At 47.9% G+C, this 19,753-nt stretch overlaps 1 protein-coding gene across 4 annotated transcripts; it reads left to right on the top strand.

The window, feature by feature from the left end:
* Positions 1–426: 426 nt before the first annotated feature.
* On the top strand, positions 427–12,411 carry SPDYE16 (speedy/RINGO cell cycle regulator family member E16). Of its 4 annotated transcripts, NM_001394943.1 has the most exons (9): positions 427–548; positions 1,844–2,424; positions 3,378–3,596; positions 4,908–5,138; positions 6,173–6,231; positions 7,467–7,552; positions 9,605–9,848; positions 9,971–10,075; positions 10,930–12,411. In NM_001394943.1, the coding sequence occupies exons 2-8, from the start codon at positions 2,265–2,267 to the stop codon at positions 10,028–10,030; spliced, it is 1,059 nt and encodes a 352-aa protein (NP_001381872.1). In that variant the 5' UTR covers positions 427–548; positions 1,844–2,264; the 3' UTR covers positions 10,031–10,075; positions 10,930–12,411. The 4 variants fall into 4 exon arrangements, with proteins under 4 accessions (NP_001381872.1, XP_016868376.1, NP_001338526.1 ...); XM_017012887.3 differs by lacking the exons at positions 427–548; positions 1,844–2,424 and having other exon boundaries at positions 3,338–3,596; positions 10,930–11,535; NM_001351597.1 differs by lacking the exons at positions 427–548; positions 1,844–2,424; positions 10,930–12,411 and having other exon boundaries at positions 3,338–3,596; positions 9,971–10,030.
* Positions 12,412–19,753: the final 7,342 nt, after the last annotated feature.

Raw genomic sequence — 19,753 nt, 5'->3', positions numbered from 1 at the left:
TTACTAGAGACGGATTTAAACATGTTGGACAGGCTGGTCTCGAACTTCTGACCTCTGGTGATCTGTCTGCCTCTGCTTCTTAAAGTGGTAGGATTACAGGCATGAGCCACCGCGCCTGGTTTGCCAATTTTTTGACAACATATCAACATCATTTACGATGGGCACGGCCTCAGTGTAGTGTGTCTAGACAAGGTGGCCGGAAGAGAGAGGAATATGCAAACCAGGCTTGAAGATGGGTTAAATCAGAGCTTTTCATTCCACAAAAGAGAAATTTTAATGGGGTCAGAACATTGATCTTCTAATATTTGAAAGCCTGTTAACTAGGAGAGAGAGAGCAAACGATTTTGTTGTAGGAGGACCCACCCAGCTCTGACGGTTTAAAGCGTCATGAATGCGAATTTGAACTCCAGAAAAGCAGAGCTTCCTAACAATGGGACTTCCACAGCAATGGGATCTGCTTCCTCTTTCAGTGTGTGCCTTTTCTATGAGCGAGAGACTCCTAGGAAAGCAGCAGCCCATTAGGAAAACGTGTGGGAACTCACTCGCAGGTTCTTTATTTTTTTTGAGATGGAGTTTTGCTCTTGTTGCCCAGGCTGGAGCACAATGGTGCGATCTTGGCTCCCTGCAACCTGCGCACCATGAGTTCAAGTGATTCTCCAGCGCCCTCTCCTGAGTAGCTGCGATTACAGGCATCCACCACCATGCCTGGCTAATTTTTTGTATTTTTAGTAGAGATGGGGTTTCACCATGTTGTCCAGGCTGGTCTCAAACTCCTGACCTCAAGTGATCCACCCACTTTGGCCTCCCAAAGTGCTGGGATTACAGGCATGAGCCACTGAGCCCAGCCGGGAACCCACAGGTTTTTTGGATGGTCTCTGAATGTCATGTAACTCTTTTATTTTTTATCAAAAAAAATTTTTTTGACACAATATCTTGCTGTGTTGCCCAGACTGGAGTGCAGTGGCAAGATCATGGCTCACTGCAGCTTCTAACTCCTGGGCTCAAGTGATCTTCCTGTCACATGAGTCTCCCAAGTAGTTGGAACACAGGTGCCAGCCACCACACCTGGCTAATTTGGTTTGGTTTGGTTTTTTTAGAGATGGGCTCTTGCTATGTTGCCTATACTGGTCTTGAACTGCTGGCCTCAGGCAATCTTCCTCCCTTGGCCACCCAAAGTGCTGGGATTACAAGCAGGAGCCACTGTGCACAGCTGAAATTTTTCGACTTAGTCTTTTTGTACATGTGATATTTTATTCATAGAATCCATAAATGGAAGGGAAATTTCTGAGTTCAGAGCAATACATATGATACAAAACTTGATATATAGACTAGAGTTTCTTAGCCGAACTGGAGGGGCTGGCTTAGGTAATCCATGGATTCCCTGAAATTGGGGACACCATTGGAAATATGTGTGAGCTCAGGGGCAGTTTCCTATGATCTTTAGGCCTCAAAATGTCTCTTGGACTCAAAATTGCCTTAGGGCAGAGGACGTGTGTACCCCCAGTATAGAATCTCGGACAGTGAATGTGAGTAAACATTCGGCAGAAAAGCTCTGCCAAACTGAGTGCTCTGATGTGACTTTTTCATCAAGTCAGTATTCCTGGGATCTCTTGTACATGATAATCTCACTCTTGTACATGATAATCTCACTCTTGTACATGATAATCTCACTCTTGTACATGATAATCTCACTCTTGTACATGATAATCTCACTCTTGTACATGATAATCTCACTCTTGTACGTGATAATCTCACTCTTGTACATGATAATCTCACTCTTATAAGGTTTCATCGTTTCTGCTTACCCTAGTTTTCTTTCCCACTCTGTTTCCTCTCCCACCAGCCTGGACTCTGAAATGGGCATGTACAGAGATGAAGAGACCCCAACATGCTTCAGGCTTTGAGTGGAGAGGACACAGCCTCTGCTGGGACAGGGAACAGAGGGATGTGGAGTCCCCGAAGATGCTTTTGGACAATGGTCTGAGGTTGGGACAGTGGCAGGAGATACCATTCACCCAGGATCTCCAGGACAAGAGATCAGCCTGGCAGTTACATGTGTTTTTTTTCAAACTGGTTGCCAGGTTGGCATGAACGATGACATCAGAGATTCCGACCTTCCTGATTGGAGGGACCGGACTCCGTGGTGCCTGGAGATCAGTTGGACAACAGTATCTTCTCAGAGCTGTTCTCCACTCCTGACTTCTCCTAGGCTTGAGAATTGATAACATACTCTTCTGGATCCTAGCAGTGTCCAGAAGAAGGCCATGGACAGAACGGAGACTAGGTTCCGTAAGAGGGGACAGATTAAGGGAAAGATCACGACCAGCCGTCAACCTCACCCCCAGAATGAGCAGAGTCCCCAGCGGAGCACCTCGGGGTACTCCCTCCAGGAGGTGGTGGATGATGAAGTGTTGGGATCATCAGGTGAGGGGACTGGTGGAAGAAGAGGTGGGATAGGATTGACTAAGACGAAGGAAGGGGGCCAGGTGCGGTGGCTCACGCCTGTAACCCCAGCACTTTGGGAGGCTGAGGCGGGCGGATCACCTGAGGTCAGGAGTTCAAGGCCAGCCTGGCCAATATGGTGAAACCCCATCTCTACTAAAAGTATAAAAATTAGTCAAGTGGTAGTGGTGCACACCTGTAATCCCAGCTACTCAGGAGGCTGAGACAGGAGAATCACTTGAGACTGGGAGGAAGAGGTTGCAGTGAGCTGAGATCACGCTACTGCACTCCAAAAAAAAAAAAAAAAGAAAAGAAAAGAAAAGAAGGGTCAGCGGTCAGGAAGGAGAACCTGAGGAGGGTGTGTGGGAAGAATGGAGAAATTCAGGCTGGGTGCAGTGGCTCACACCTGTAACCCCAGAACTTTGGGAGGCCAAGGCAGGCGGATCACTTGAGGCCAGGAGTTTGAGACCAGCCTGGCCAACATGGTGAAACCCTGTCTCTACTAAAAGTACAAAATTGAGCTGGGCATTATGGCAGGCACCTGTAATCCCAGCTACCTGAGAGGCTGAGGCAGAAAAATAAATGGAATCCAGGAGATGGATGTTGCAGTGAGCTGAGATTGCACCACTACACTCCAGCCTGGGTGACAAAGCAAGATTCTGTGTCAAAACAAAACAAAACAAAAAAGGAGGGACTCAGAGAGCCAGAGACCAGGGGAGGACATGAAGCAGTGTTCGGAGGACAGAGAGAGAGAAGAATGGGGAGGGGAAGGAGCGGCACATGGGGTTGAGCAGAGGAGAAAATCAGAAAGATGGCTTAGAGAAGCCAGCAGTCTGCGAGTCTGGGGAGGATGGAGAGTGGTTTGGGGTTTTGGGTCGGGGTCTAAGGTGATCAGATGCAGAAGCATTACACGGTGGCCTGGTTTCTTTACTCAGCCCCTGGGGTAGATCCCAGCCCCCCATGTAGGTCCCTTGGCTGGAAAAGGAAGAAGGAGTGGTCAGATGAATCTGAGGAGGAGCCGGAGAAGGAGCTCGCCCCTGAGCCTGAGGAGACCTGGGTAGTGGAGATGCTGTGTGGGCTCAAGATGAAGCTGAAGCAACAGCGAGTGTCACCCATCCTCCCTGAGCACCACAAGGACTTCAACAGTCAGCTTGGTAGGAGGACACCCCAGAGAGCACCTCCAATCCTGTTCTTTCTAAAAAGAGGAAACTTCCAATAACCACACTTTTCCAATGGGAAAGATACGCCCCCAGTGGGTGAGCTCTCCACGCAGGAGGACTCAGAAGTGATCACTCATGAGGGACACTTAGGAGATGATAGAGGACTAGGCTAGACTTGATAAAGGTTGGCGCTTGGGATGAGAAAGCTTGGTTTCGGGCCAGGTGCAGTGGCTCACGCCTGAGATCCTAGCACGCTGGGAGGCTGAGGCAAGAGGATTGCTTGAACTCAGGACTTTGAGACTGCAGTGAGCTATGACTGCACCACTGCACTCCAGCCTGGGTGACAGAGCAAAACCCTGTGTCAAAAGAAAAACGAAGGCCGGGTGTGGTAGCTCATGCCTGTAATCCCATTACTTTGGGAGGCTGAGATGGGTGGATCACTTGAGGTCAGTTGTTCGAGACCAACCAGACCAATATAGCGAAACCTCATTTATACTAACAATACAAAAATTAGCCAGGCATGCCTGTTATCCCAGCTACTCGGGAGGCTGAGACAGGATAATCGCTTGAACCCAGGTGGAAGAGGATGCTTTGAGCCAAGATAGCGCCACTGCATTCCATTCTGGGTGAGAGAGTGAGACGCTCTCTCAAAAAAAAAAAAAAAAAAAAAAAAAGAAGGAAGGGCGGGCCCAGAAGTCAGGAAGGAGCACGTGAGGAGGGTGTGTGGGAAGAATGGAGGTACTGAGGCAGGGTGCAGTGGCTCACACCTGTAATCCCAGCACTTTGGGAGGCCAGGCAGGCAGATCACTTGAGGCCAGGAGTTGGAGACCAGCCTGGCCAACATGGTGAAACCCTGTCTCTTCTAGAAGCACAAAAATGAGCTGGGCGTTCTGGTGGGCACCTGTAATCCCAGCTACTTGGGAGGCTTAGGCAGGAGAATCACTGGAACCCAGGAGGCGGAGGTTCCAGTGAGCCAAGATCGCACCACTACACTCCAGCCTAGGCCACAAAGCAAGACTGTTTCTCAACAACAACAACAAAAAAAAAAAAAAAAGAGAGACTCAGAGAGCCAGGGACCAGGGAAGGATATGAGGAAGTGTTCTGAGGACAGAGAAACGGGAGAATGGGGAGGAGAAGGAGCGGCACATGGAGCTCAGCAGAGGAGACAGACAGAAGGAAAGATGGCTTGGAGAAGCCAGCAGTCTGCAAGGCTGGGGAGGATGGAGAGTGGTTTGGGGTTTTGGGTCGGGCTCTAGTGTGATCAACTGCAGAAGCATTACACCGTGGCCTGGTTTCTTTACTCAGCCCCTGGGGTAGATCCCAGCCCCCCGCATAGGTCCTTTTGCTGGAAAAGGAAGAGGGAGTGGTGGGACGAATCTGAGGAGTCGTTGGAGGAGGAGCCACGGAAGGTGCTCGCCCCTGAGCCTGAGGAGATCTGGGTGGTGGAGATGCTGTGTGGCCTCAAGATGAAGCTGAAGCGACGGCGAGTGTCGCTCGTGCTCCCTGAGCACCACGAGGCCTTCAACAGGCTGCTTGGTAGGAGGACACCCCAGAGAGCACCTCCAATCCTGTTCTTTCCAAAAACAGGAAACTTCCAATAACCACACTTTTCCAATGGGAAAAATATGCCCCAGTGGGTGAGCTCTCCATGTGGGAGGAATGTGAAGTGATCACTCATGAGGGACACTTAGGAGATGATAAAGGATTAGGTCAACTTGATAAAGGTCAGAACTTGGGATAAGAAAGCTTGGTTTCAGGCCAGGTGCAGTGGCTCACGCCTGAGATCCTAGCACGTTGGGAGGCTGAGGCAAGAGGATTGCTTGAACTCAGGACTTTGAGGCTGCAGTGAGCTATGACTACACCACTGCACTCCAGCCTGGGTGACAGAGCAAAACCCTGTCTCAAAAGAAAAACCAAGGCTGGGCACAGTAGCTCATGCATGTAATCCCAGCTACTCGGGAGGCTGAGACAGGAGAATCGCTTAAACCCGGGAGGCAGAGGTTGCAGCGAGCCAAGATCAGGCCACTGCATTCCAGCCTGGCCCACAGAGCAAGACTCTGTCTCAAAATAAATTAATAAATAAATAAAAATAAAAATCAAATAAAGAAAAACAAAATCAATAAACAAAGAAAGTGGTTTCAGCTGTGCCCTCTGAAACTTAAAGTCTCTTACTGACTTTTCTAAACCTAAGTGTCTCCATCCATAGTGGGGGATCCCAAGGCCATGGTCACACCCTGATGTGACTGTCTCATGAGGAAATGATGGGAATTCCTTTATGACTCTGCAGTGGTCCCTCCGTGTCTGCTGGAGGGGGTCCTGGCTGATTCCCAGCTCTACATCCTGTAGATTCTCACACCCAGGGCCTCCTTCGGCCTCTTCTCAGGGGAGTCTCAGAGCAGGAGCCTCTCTCCCTTGCCCAGTGAAAGTCATTCTCCCCTCTCCCATCCACCTCACCCGCGGCCACAATCCTGAGACTTTCCCCCCGGGAGGCACACTTCTCCTCACTGCCCTGCTGCTCCCACGGAAACCCTGTCCTGCTTCTCACACTGACATCTGCTCTCTAATCACAGAGGATCCTGTCATTAAAAGATTCCTGGCCTGGGACAAAGATCTGAGGGTGTCGGACAAGGTAAGGTTGTTCTCCATGTAACTGTTCCTGTTCCAACGCATGGCTGGGGGGAGGGCGCAGCTTCCAAACCCACAGTTCTCCCTCCACCACCTCCCACCAGATGCTCCTACAGTCTTTTTTTTTTTTTTTTTTTTTTTTTTTTTTTGTGAGACAGAGTCTTGCTCTGTTGCCCAGGCTGGAGGGCAGTGTCTCGATCTTGACTCACTGCAGCCGATGCCTCCCGGGTTCAAGCGATTCTCCTGCCTCAGCCTCCAAGCAGCTGGGATTACAGACATGAACCACCACGCCTGGCTAATTTTTGTGTTTTTAGTAGAAACGGGGTTTTGCCATGTTGGCCAGGTTGGTCCTGAACACCTGACCTCAGGCGATCCACCCGCCTTGGCCTCCCAAAGTGCTGAGATTATAGACGTCAGCCACTGTGCCCGACCAGCTCCCACGGTCTTGAGTCTTGGCACCCACACATTTTTTTTTTGTGAGACAGAGTCTAGCTCTGCTCCCCAGGATGGAGTGCAGTGGCATGATCATAGCTCATTGCAGCCTCTAATTCCTGGGCTCAAGCAATCTTCTTTCCTCAGCCTCCTGAGGAGCTGGGACTAGGCACATGCCACCATGCTCAACTAATTTTTGAAATGTTTGTAGAAACAGGGTCTCACTATGTTGCCCAGGTTGTTCTCGAACTGTTGGGCTCACATGATCCTCCTGTCTCCACCTCTCAAAAAGTACTGGGATCACAGGCTTGAGCCACCACTCCCGGCTATTCTTGGTCTTTTTATGATTTGTCAGCATCTCCCTCAGGATTCTGCTGGTCTCTTGCAGAGTGAATGAGTGGCCCCTGCCTCTCCTATGGGTCCTTTGGGATCTGAGCTCTGGGCCACAGTCTGGCCGCAGCCCTGAAGCTCCTAGCCCCTCTACTCTCAGCTCTTCGGGACAGTTCTCTGCCTGGCACACAAAAGACCCTCCTGACACCAGCCGACCTAGACACACCCCCTCCAAAGATCCCATCGGAGCCCACCATCCTGGGAGCATCACCCAAAACCCTTCCTCTGGCTTCTCGGATTTGCATCTGACCTTCGAATACCCCTCCATCCTGCAATTTCCAAATGAGTACAGTCACCCCAACACTGAGGTCCCTTCTCTGATGGGCAGCCCCTCCCCAGACCCTCATTCCCCCTCTCCACAATCTTCCTCTTCCAAGATGTGACCTCTCCCTCTCTGTGTTCCTTTCTCTCCATCAGTATCTCCTGGCTATGGTCATAGCGTATTTCAGCCGGGCCGGCCTCCCCTCCTGGCAATACCAACGCATTCATTTCTTCCTGGCTCTGTGAGTGGTTTGCTTCCTCCTATCCGTCAATATCCAATGCCCTGGGACAGCGGGGGAAGTGGGATTCCAGCCTTTCATTTATTCTTTCACCTATTTGTCCTCTTTACTCTGTGTACAAAAAAGAGAGGATTATACTATCATAGACTGTTGTTTCTAAACAGAAACTCAGGCTGGGCACAGTGGCATACACCTGTAATCCCAGCACTTTGGGAGGCCGAGGCAGGCAGATCACCTGAGGTCAGCAGTTCGAGACCAGCCTGGCCAACATGGCCAAACCCCGTCTCTACTAAAAATAGAAAAATTAGCTGGGCGTGGTGGTGTGCATCTGTAATCCCAGCTACTCGGGAGGCTGAGGCAAGAGAACCCTTTGAACCCAGGAGGTGGAGGTTGCAGTAAGCTAAGGTCGAGCCACTGCACTCCAGCCTGGGTGACAGAGTGAGACTTTTTCTCAAAAAAAAAAAAAAAAAAAAAAAAAGCCAAAAAAACAAACTCCAATGCCAGTGTACAAATAAAAGAATAAAACAAAAGGAACCATAAACCGCTCCTAAGGGGAAAAGAAAAGGAGTGGAGGAGCGGACATGCCGCTTCCTCCAGCAAGCAGACGTTTCTGGTTCTTCTCTCTCTCTCCTTCCCACATCAACCACAAACGCCATCGACCTCCTCTGGGTTCCCATGACAGAGGCCACAGTTCAGGTCCCCCTCGCATCACTTGAATCCACTGTCAAATGCTCCCTGCTGGGGTCTCCTGGAGTCTCTCCCCAAGCCAGGGGGCTTCCTAGTGCAGCCTGAACATCTTTCCAAAGCACGACAACCTCACTGCCCACCTGAACAACTTCCTTAGCTGATGCCTTTCTCTATCGAGGCCAGGGTCCACAGTGTCAATTCTACCCTCTCTACAATCTCTACAAGCACACTGGCTCGCCATCTTGGTATTTCCTGGCTCGGCTTCACTGCTCCTTCCAAATGCCCTCCACTCGACTTTGTGTTTGTGTTTTCTGTCTGGGTGTCCCGCACACATGTGGCTCTGAAGGGAAGGACCCATTCCTTGAAGTCAGTTCACCCCACAGCCTCTGTGATGCCTTCCCTCATCTTCCAACTTCTGCATGCCCGTAGCTCTCTAGTTACATCCTGGACACTGGGATTAGGTCATCTGCCTTGATTACTCCCAGTCCCATTAGACTAGATGCCTGTAGAAGGCAGGGTCCTGGCAAAATATCAATGTATTCAATTTCTTTTATTTTTTTGAGACAGACTTGCCCTGTCCCCCAAGCTGGAGTGCAGTGGTGAGATCATAGCTCACCGCAGCCTCCATATCCTGGGCTCAAGCGATCCTCCCACCTCAGCTTCTTTATTAGCTCCGACTACAGGGCTGTGCCACCACACCTGGACAGTTTGTTTGTTTGTTTGTTTGTTTATTGAGACAGAGTCTTGCTCTGCCTCTCAGGCTGGAATGGAGTGGCCCAATCTCGACTCACTGCAACCTCCGCCTCCTGGGTTCACACAATTCTTATGCTTCAGCCTCCTGAGTAGCTAGGCCTAACGGGTGTGCCACCGCACCAGGCTGATTTTTGTATTTTTAGTAGAGATGGGGTTTCTCCGTGTTGACCAGGCTGGTCTCCAACTCCTGGTCTCAAGCAATCCACCTGCTTCAGCCTTCTAAAGTGCTGGTATTACAGGCATGAGCCACCGCGTCTGGCATATTTCTTATATTTTTAATAGAGACGAGGGTCTTGCTATGTTGCCCAGGCCCGTCTCAAACTCCTGGCCTCAAGTGATCCTCCTGCTTTGGCCTCCCAATGTGCTGGGATTCCAGGCATAAGCCACCACTCTCGGCCACCAGTTGGGTTTTTGTCTCCATCCTGAAGGAGTGGGAGACGCCCTTGATCAGGTCTCTGTCCAGCAGAGCCCTCCTGAGGAAGGCGTGGCTCTCTGCAGGGTGGGTGCCAGTCCTGAGCTAGGGACGGTCCCTTACCTTCCTCTCTGGGAAGCTGACCTCAGCCGGAGGCCTCTCCTGGTGGTGCCCCTGAGCAGCAACCTGATTTCTGTCCTCAGCTACCTGGCCAATGACATGGAGGAGGACGACGAGGACCCCAAACAAAACATCTTCTACTTCCTGTATGGGAAGACCCGCTCTCGCATACCCTTGGTCCGTAACCGTCGGTTCCAGTTATGCCGTTGCATGAACCCGAGGGCCAGGAAGAACCGCTCTCAGATAGCCCTGTTCCAGAAACTTCGGTTCCAGTTCTTCTGTTCCATGAGCGGCAGGGCTTGGGTTTCCCGGGAGGAGTTGGAGGAGGTGAGTGGGGCCTGGGGAGGTGGAGGAGGTGGGGAGGAATCGGGTGGGCTGGAGGCTGGATGAGGGGAGAGAGGGGTATCCTGGCGAGTCCCTGTCTTCTCAAAGGGCGTTTGTTTTTCCAGATCCAGGCTTATGACCCAGAGCACTGGGTGTGGGCGCGAGATCGCGCTCGCCTTTCCTAGAGCTCCAGGGACCGTGGAGGCCTGAGGTCATCGGCCTGAGAGAAGGTACATCTGCATCCTCCGGGGTAAAGGCAGAATATTGGGGTCTATTTTGGAAATCCGAGGAACCCAATTGCTTGATCCGGCTTCAAGCCTGGGCAACGTGGCGAGATTCCCCTCTCCACAAAAATACAAAAATTAGCCAGGCGACGTGGGATGCATCTCTACTCCCAACTACTCAGGAGGCTGAGGCGGGAGGATCGCTGGAGCCTGGAAGGTCGGGGCTGCACGGAGCCCTGATCCTGCCACTGCACTCCAGTCTGGGCGACAGAGTGAGACCCTGCCTCAAAAAGAATCATAAATACTGAGTTTGGGGAGGTTCATTATGACTGACGCACTTGAGTTACCGATTTGGGTCGAGGGTTCAGTGAAGCTTTGGTTTACATCTTGTGCAGCTAACCACGGTGAGCACAGAGCATGAGACTTCATCATGAGGAGGTAGGATTAAGGATTAGGCTTCTGGACTCGTGGTTTGTGATGTTGTCACATTAGAAACACATCTAGCATGGTTACAAGTTTAGATCTTAAGTGACACAAAAGGCCCCAGCTGTGATGAAGTCCAAAGCCACATTCTCTGAGGGTGCCCTACTCCCTGGGCAGACCCACCCAAAGTCCTTGCTATGAAGCAGATCACTGGGGCTGACCTTGGGTGTATTAAGTGAGTTTTGGAGTCGTGGTCACCAAAGTGTGAGTTTCACAGTTGAACACGATGGTTCAGAAGCAGGGTATAGAATGAAAGGCAGCAGATAAAATTGCATTTCTCAATTGCTCTGAACTCTAGACTTGACATGGGACGTGAATAACCTTCCTGTCTAGAGAGCTGCCTCCTTGAAGTGTGACATTGTCTCTCTCACTTCCAGAACACCGGACCCACGGGAGATGTGGATTTTCAGCAGGAACTTTATTCCAATGCTAATGGCAGTCAACAGGAAAGAGGAGAGGAACCATTTGTGCAGATCATCTAGAAGAACCTGGACCATTCTTGATGGAGCTGAATACAGTGATCACGTTGTCCTCCTGGGAGCAGGGGTGGGGGGAGGGGGGTGGGGTCCTTCTAGGAGTCCTTGGAGAAAAGTAAGAAACCAGGAGTGTTTCCAGTTCCACCCTTTCCTGCGGCACCACCACCCTTTTTATATTGCTGAATGCCAACCTCCCTGGGGCGGAACCTGAGGTCCTGTTTCTTACGGACTTGGTTGCCACAGTCCAGGAGCATTTGAAGGCACAATGCAGGGGCTCAGATTGGCACAGAATTCTTTTGTGAAATATCAGTGCCACAGATTGTAACAGATAGCTTCATGCACACTCTGCATTTTATTGGTTTGTTTGGAAAATGTTGGCCATTGAATTATTCATAGATTTATTTCAAATAGTTTGGAAATTGTTGTACTTTTGAAAACATGCTGTTCCTGTAGTTTTTTGATGAGAGTTATAGTTGTTATATATACATAAAGATAATTTTCTTTTCATTTTTAAGAGACAATTCTTTTTATCCTAAATATTTTATTATCTTTAAATTTGTTTCTGTATTATTATATGTGCTCCTGAAGTGAGCACTCTTTTTATCTATGATATTTCCATAATAATCTCTTCTATTTATAGCTATTGGTAGTTCCCCACCAGAAAAAAACATAATTCTGGTGATAGAAATTTTTATTTGCTGTTTAGGTCTGTGACTGAATTGTGAGAATTCAGTTGTGATTTTTAACATGTCTCAGATATATATACTAACACGTCTAATATATACTATCTAATTTATTGGTTTATTTTGAAAAACATGGGTATAGAATTATTTAAATATTATTTTATTTATTGAAATATTAAATATATTTATTTATTTGAATATTATTACTTGAAATATTATTTTAAATATTTTGGAAATACTGGTATTTTTGAATAGATGCTGTTTCTATAAAGCTGTGTGATGGGTGTTATAACTGTTATATACACATACGTATAATTTTGCTTTCCTTTTTAAGAGAGGATTCTTTTCATCCTAAATCTTTTACCTTTCAATCTTTGTATCTATTATTACACGTGCTGCTGAAGGGAGCATGGTTTTTATCTATGATACTTAGTTAACATATATATTACATTTATAGCTATGTAGTAGTTCCCCTAAATTCTTGTAAAAATAAATTTTTATTTGATATTTCATATATGTTTGAAATGTGAGAATTCAGATGTAATTTTTTACCTTGTTTTGGCATCTTTGTATGTTACTTTAAAGAGGATGTGTGTTCTAAAGGAGGACATGAGCTGTGTGTTTTCAAGAGAACAATAGAGTGCGTCTCTTGGGGAAACATAATAAAAATGAACTTTTCTCACCTTCACAGCAACTGTGATCATATTGGTCTGGATTGATTATTTGCTGCCCAGTGATATTTTTCCTTAATGGGGTTGTGGTTATTTGAACATATTTATTAGCTCTGGAAGATAATCCTGTGCTGTTTTTTATGTAGAAAAAAACATAAGGCTGGGTGCAGTGCTCACACCTACAATCCCTGCAGTTTTGGAGGTCATGGCGGGAGGATCACCTGAGGCCAGGAGTTTGAGGCCAGCCTCAGCAACATAGCATCTACATCTATTTTTAATTTTTATTTTTTAAAGAAAAACAATAGAAGAGAAGGCTGATCCCAAGCTACAGGGTTTTTTTGTTTGTTTGTTTTGGAGACAGAGTCTTGCTCTGTCTCCCAGGCTGGAGTGCAGTGGCACAACCTCGGCTCCCTCCAACTTTCACCTCTGGGTTCAAACAAATTCTCCTGCCTCAGCCTCCCAAGCAGCTGGGACTACAGGCACCCGTCTGTACGTCCGACTAACTTTTGTAAAAATAGTAGAGACAAGGTTTCACCATGTTGGCCAGGCTGGTCTCGAACTCCTGACTTCAAGTGATCTACCCACCTCGGCCTCCCAAAGTGCTGGGATTACAGGCATGAGCTACTGTGCCCAGATGCCAAGCTAGAGTTTTAAGGCAGGAAATGAGAGAAAGATATTGAGAGAGGAAAACCAGGTGGTAAGAAAACTCTAAAGGTGGCCGGGAGTGGTGGCTCACGCCCATGATCCCAGCAGGAGTTTGAGACCAGCCTGGCCAACATGGTGAAACCCTGTCTCTACTAAAAATACAAAAATTAGGCAGGCGTGGTGGTGCACGCCTATAATCCCAGCTATTTGGGAGGCTGAGGCAAGAGAATCACTAGCAGAGATTGTGTCTCCTCACCCCCTCTCAAAAAAAAAAAAAAAAAAGAAAGTTCCTTCAGCAGTTAAAGCTGTGAAAGACAGGCACTCTGCCATGCAATTCTTTGTGATTTTTCTTTTTTCTTTTTGGAGTTGGGGTCTTGCGCTGTCACCCAGACTGGGGTGCAGTGGTGTGGTCATAGCTCACTGCGGCCTCAGACTCAAGCTCAAGCAATCCTCTTACCTTGCCTTTCAAATTGCTGGGATTATAAGCATGAGCCACTGCATCTGGCCTGTGTGACACAATTCTGTTTTTTGTCTTTTTTTTTTTTTTGTGGGGGGATGGAGTCTCGCTCTGTCACCCAGGCTGGAGTGCGGTGGCGTGATCTTGGCTCAATGCAAGCTCCGCCTCCTGGGTTCACGCCATTCTCCTGCCTCAGCCTCCCGAGTAGCTGGGACTACAGGCGCCCGCCACCATGCCTGGCTAATTTTTTGTATTTTTAGTAGAGACGGGGTTTCACTGTGTTAGCCAGGATGGTCTCGATCTCCTGACCTCGTGATCTGCCCGCCTTGGCCTCCCAAAGTGCTAGGATTACAGGCGTGAGCCACCGCGCCCAGCCTATGTGATGCAATTCTGATGTCAACTCCCTGATGTTACCTCAAATGCCACAGGTTAAGGCCACCAGCCCCCACTAGGCTGCCCTCGCTTTAGACACACCTGCAGGCTTGGGTGTCCTCAGACCACATGTACTTCTCACCAACTGGCTGCAAATTTGGAGGTTCCCACCATGCCCTCAAGTTCAATAACTCACTAAAACAATTCACAGAATGCAGAAAAGCATGATACTTTCTTTCTCTTTTTTTTTTTTTTTTTTTTGAGACGGAGTCTTGCTCTGTCGCCCAGGCTGGAGTACAGTGGCCACCATGCTTGGCTAATTTTTGTATTTGTATTAGAGACGGGGTTTCGCCATGTTGGCCAGGCTGGTCTTGAACTCCTGACCTCAGGTGATCCACCCGCCTTGGCATCCCAAAATGCTGGGATTATAGGCATAGCCACCATGCCCGGTCGACTTCTAGAGTTTCAATAACAGAGATGTGGTTCAAGAAGGGAGACATGTTTTGTAGATGGCAGGAGCTTCATGGAAAGAAGCCAATGAAGGGCAGGACGTGTAGCTGTCTACCTACAGGAAACCAGCCAGGAGCCTCCCCACAGGGACTTCAGCACAGATGGCCGGGAAAATCTGCATTAACCTGAGCTCTGGACCTAAGAGAGGACAAGGCCTTGACTGTTTCTACAGACTCACAAGATGCAATCTCTGCGGTCCATGCCCGTGGTGTGATCTGGGAAACGGGGGGCCTTCTAAATGCCAACAACAAGGAAATCAAATGTGCAACAGACAGAAATACCGGCATTGACGTGGGCCATGGAAAGGCCTAAACAGATGACTGCAGTTCACTGCCAAGGTCATCAAAGGGGTGACTCTGAAATAAGAAATTTCAGATGCCACGGCCCAAATAGCTGCACGAGGTGGGGAAGTCCTCCACATGCCTCTGCTTCCTTCAGTACCTGTTTATGAAATAAGCCGAGGTACTTCCCTGGGGAATTTCCTTTCTCTTTCTTTCTTTCGAGACGGAGTCTTGCTCTGTCGCCCAGGCTAGAGTGCAGTGGCGCAATCTCGGCTCAATGTAACCTCTCCCTCCTGGGTTTTAGCAATTCTCCTGCATCAGACTTCTGAGTAGCTGAGATTACAGGTGCATGCCACCATGCCCAGCTAATATTTGCATTTTTAGTAGAGACAGGGTTTCACCATCTAGGCCAGGCTGGTCTTGAACTCCTGACCTCGTGATCCACCCGTCTTGGCCTCCCAAAGTGCTGGGATTACAGGTGTGAGCCATCACGCCCGGACTTTTGTTTTATTTTTTGAGACGACGTTTCACTCTTGTTGCCCACGCTGGAGTGCAATGGCACGATCTCAGCTCACTGCCACCTCCTCCTCCCAGGTTCAAGCGATTATCCTGCCTCAGCCTCTCGAGTAGCTGGGATTACAGGCACCCAACACCAAACCCAGCTAACTTATTGTATTTTTAGTAGAGATGGGATGTCACCATGTTGGCCAGGATGGTCTTGAACCCCTGACCTCTAATGATCCACCTGAATTGGTTTCCCAAAATGTTGGGATTACAGGCACAAGCCACTGCGCCCAGCCCCTCCCATACCTCTTTTGGTCAAGGCAGCACAATTCAGAAGAATCTTGCCAGGGAAGACTGGTAAATGGACGTCAACGTGATGCCTATGGCTCCTGGTGGATTTAGATACCTCCTGGTGCTTATTGATATCTTTACCAGTTGCACGGGGGCTTTTCCATGCCAGACTGAAAACGCAGGAGATCAATGATCAACCTTCAACTATTTACTAGCAGAACACTGAGGGGACTGTGCGGTCACCAATACCTCCTATTGCACTTGGATAAACACCTCCCAGGAAATAGAGATGAATAGAAAGGACATAGTCAAACAAGCAGAATGGCTGCATTCCTTCAACCAGAAGGGCCATTAGTCTGTTTTCACACTGCTATAAAGAACTATGAGAAACTGGGTAATTTATGAAGAAAAGAGGTTTAATTGACTCACAGTTCTGCAGGCTGTACAGGAAGCATGGCTGGGGAGGCCTCAGGAAACTGACAATCACGGCAGAAGGCGAAGGGGAAGCAGGCACGTCTGGCCATGTTGGAGCAGGAGAGACAGAGAGAGTGAAGTGGGAGGGCTGCATGCTTTTAAACAACCAGATCCCACAAGCGCTCACTCAATATCACGAGAACAGCAAGGGGGAAGTCGGCCCCCATGAGCCAATCACCTCCCACCAGGTCCCTCCCACAACACTGGGAATTACAATTTGACATGAGATTTGGGTGTGGATACAGAGCTGAACCATGTCAAGGGTAGTTCAACCGCTGAGACTGACTGATTGATTGATTGACTGAGATGGAGTCCTGCTCTGTTACCTAGGCTGGAGTGCAGTGGCACAATCTCGGCTCACTGCAACCTCCGCCTCCCGGGTTCAAGCGATTCTCCTGCCTCAGCCTCCCGAGTAGCTGGGACTACAGCACATGCCACCATGCCTAGCTAATTTTTGTATTTTTAGTAGAGACAGGGCTTCACCATGTTTGCCAGGCTGGTCTTGAACTCCTGACCTCGTGATCACCCTGCCTTGGCTTTTCTTTTGCTGGAATTACAGGCGTGAGCCACTGCACCTGGCCAACAACTGAGATTTAGAAGGCAGTCGAGTCCACTATACCGCACCTCACCTGGTTTCTTCCTCTGTTGGGGCCCCTCGTGGCCACTGTTCTGTTACTTTTTGGTCCTATTTATTTAAATGGATGGTGAGCTGTTTGTCCTCCAGGCTCCAACACTTCCACCTTCAGCTTGTATTACAACAATACCAGCCTTTCAAGCTACTCCGGGTGACCCCAGAACTCATTTGAACTCAGAAGCCCAAGAGTTTCATTCCTTTCACTTTAGGGGACTCAGTGCCCTGCTCAGCATGAAGTCGAAGCAGAAGCATGACCTCCATCCCTAATCCCTCAAGAATGAGGAGTGGAAGGTGTTGGCAGGAGGGTGGGGGTGAGGTTTGTAGATCTGTAACTGCATCAGACCAAATCTGGTTCAACTTTTTTTTTTTTTTGATGGAGTTTCACTCTTGTCACCCAGGCTGGAGGGCAATGGTATGAACTCAGCTCACTGCAACCTCCACCTCCTAGGTTCAAGTGATTCTGCTGCCTCAGCCTCCAGATAGCTGGGATTATAAGGGTGCACCACCACACCTGGCTAATATTTATATTTTTAGTAGAGACGGGGTTTTACCATTTTGGCCAGGCTGGTCTTGAAGTCCTGACCTCCACCTGCCTTGGCCTCCCAAAGTGCTGGGATTACAGGCGTGAGTCACTGCACCCGGCTCAGTTCAACTTTTATGTAATGAGGTTGTCAGTTGTTTTTCAATTGCCATGGACCCACAGGTTGAAGGGCATGTACCCTGTGCATGCCCAGGTTAACCAAGCATGCCACCACGGAGTGGGAACTAAAAGCTCGGCCTGAAGAGCTGAGACTGATTTAAGAACTGGACACTCCATGACAGGAGCCAGGATCCAATCAGATTGAGTTTTGCTGTCACCCCATGGCAGGATCCAGTCAGATCACACCTCCCAGCATTACTTTATTGCAAGATCCAATCAAATCACAACTCATTACCCTATGCTTATAAAACCTGACATAGCCCCCAGCTGGGTAAGGGAGATTTGAGTATTTCTTCCTGTGTTCTTGCTAGCTGACTTGCAAAAAAGCTTTAAAAAAAAGGCCACGCGTGGTGGCTCATGCCTGTAATCCCAGCACTTTGGGAGGCTGAGGCAGGCAGATCACTTGAGGTCAGGGGTGCAAGACCAGCCTGGCCAACATGGTGAAACCCTATCTCTACTAAAAATACAAAAATTAGCTGGTCATGGTGACACATACCTATAATCCCAGCTACTTGGGAGACTGAGGCAGGAGAATCACTTGAACCCAGGAGGTAGAGGTTGCAGTGAGCCAAGATCACACCACTGCACTCCAGCCTGGGCGACAGAGTCAGAAGACTCTGTCTAAAAAAGAACAGTTAAAATTAGCATCAAATGCTTTACGAGTAAAAAAAGTTTTTAGCTGCATATGTTTAAGTAACTTTTTAGATTGTAAAAAATACACATACAAAATGGAAAGGCACAAAGAAGAGAGCAAAAAGTGCATGAGATCTCACATCCAAGGATAACCGCTGAGAACATGAAAGTGCTGACTCTTCCAGCCTTTATACTATACACATTTAGGCCGTTGTTTTGTTTTTATAAAACCGTAATCATATAATACAGATAGTTTTATAATCTGGTTTTTAAACACAACAATTACATAACATTTAGCTGTTTCTTTTGCATTCAGATTCATAAGGGTTCCAGTAACTCATTTATCAGAAAACCAAGAGAAATAGTCTCATTAAAATATAAGTACATAAGGCAGGCATGGTGGCTCACGCCTATAATCCCAGCACTTTGAGAGGCCGAGGTGGGCGGATCACCTGAGGTCAGGAATTTGAGACCAGCCTGGCCAGCCTGGACAACATGGTGAAACCCCGTCTCTGCTGAAAATACAAAAATGAGCCAGGTGTGGTGGTGCGCACCTGTAATCCCAGCTATTCAGAAGGCTGAGGCAGGTGAATCGCTTAAACTCGGGAGGTGGAGGTTGCAGTGAATCGAGATCGTGCCACTGCACTCCAGCCAGGGCGCCAAAGTGAGACTCCATCTCAAAAAAAGATAAAAATAAAAAATAAAAATAAAATATATATATGTATATATATTTTTCCAGACAGGGTCTTACTCTGTCTCCCAGTCTGAAATACAGTGGCGCAATCATAGCTCACTGCAGCCTCAAGTTTCTGGGCTCAAGTGAATCTCCCACTTCAGCTTCCCAAGTAGCTGGAACTACAGGTGGATGCCACCATGCCCAGTCAATTTTTTTTTTAATTTTTCATAGAAACAGAGTCTCACTATGTTGCCCAGTCCTAATAAACACTATGTGATGAAAAGAAAAAAGTAAATCACCCTAAAGTTAAGTCTTTAATGTTAAGTCTTTAACGAGAAATGCAAATAAAGCATTTCTCAATAGATTATGGGAAGAGAATCAACTGAAGAATAAACATCTTTAGTAAATCTTTTGCTCATGTGCATTAACCAATACTCTTGAAAACCAAGATTAATTTACTGTACCTTCTTAACATTCCTTTGAAATTCCTTATGGCGCACAGGTAGTGTAGAAAATAACTGCTTCACGCTGACTGTGGTCCCTCTGGGGTGGGGGTAGGGGGTTTTCTGGATGATTTTCCCATCGTGATCAAACACCAGTCGAGTCCCAACCTTCACCGATGCGTGGCAGGTAGAAATGGTGACATCGCTGTGAGAGAATACCAGGCGTGGTGTGTTCAGTGAGAGACCCGTGATGTTGAGCATTGACTATGCTTTTCTTCACTTGCTTTTCTCTCAAAACTTTCTTAAAAAGCTGACGATCCCTCTGAGATAACCAAGATCTAAACGGTTGAGGAGTCATCATAAAATCTAAGGTTTGGCATCTAAAAGACAGTGAGACAGAGAGCACTAAACATGCTTTGTTTTGATAAAAGCTTTGATTTCATTTTTCAGGTTGAATTGCAAAACCATAAATGATCTCAAGGTTTATTTATTCACAAATAGAGATTTGTTTTGTTATTACTCTTCAAATAAAATTGTTTTAAAGAATTTTTTAAAGAACTAAAAAATTTTTTTTAAATTTTTAAAGAATCCAAAAGATATTATAATTAAAATGTATATGTAGGGCAGGGTGCGGTGGCTCATGCCTGTAATTCCAGCACTTTGGGAGGCCGAGAAGCGCAGATCAATTGAGGCCTGGAGTTCCAGACCAGCCTGGGCAACATGGCAAAACCCCATCTCTACTAAAAATACA

Source organism: Homo sapiens, chromosome 7 (genome assembly GCF_000001405.40).
Source record: "Homo sapiens chromosome 7, GRCh38.p14 Primary Assembly".
NCBI classification, from domain to species: domain Eukaryota; kingdom Metazoa; phylum Chordata; class Mammalia; order Primates; family Hominidae; genus Homo; species Homo sapiens.
Note: the sequence above shows the minus strand (reverse complement) of the source record. Positions and strands in the feature narration are given on the sequence as shown.

Excerpts from the sequence above, each read along its gene's own strand:
- SPDYE16 (NM_001394943.1), top strand. The coding sequence starts at position 2,265 with ATGGACAGAACGGAGACTAGGTTCCGTAAGAGGGGACAGATTAAGGGA. Across the intron at positions 2,425-3,377 it reads TGAAGTGTTGGGATCATCAG|CCCCTGGGGTAGATCCCAGC; the intron begins GTGAGGGGACTG and ends TTCTTTACTCAG. Across the intron at positions 3,597-4,907 it reads GGACTTCAACAGTCAGCTTG|CCCCTGGGGTAGATCCCAGC; the intron begins GTAGGAGGACAC and ends TTCTTTACTCAG.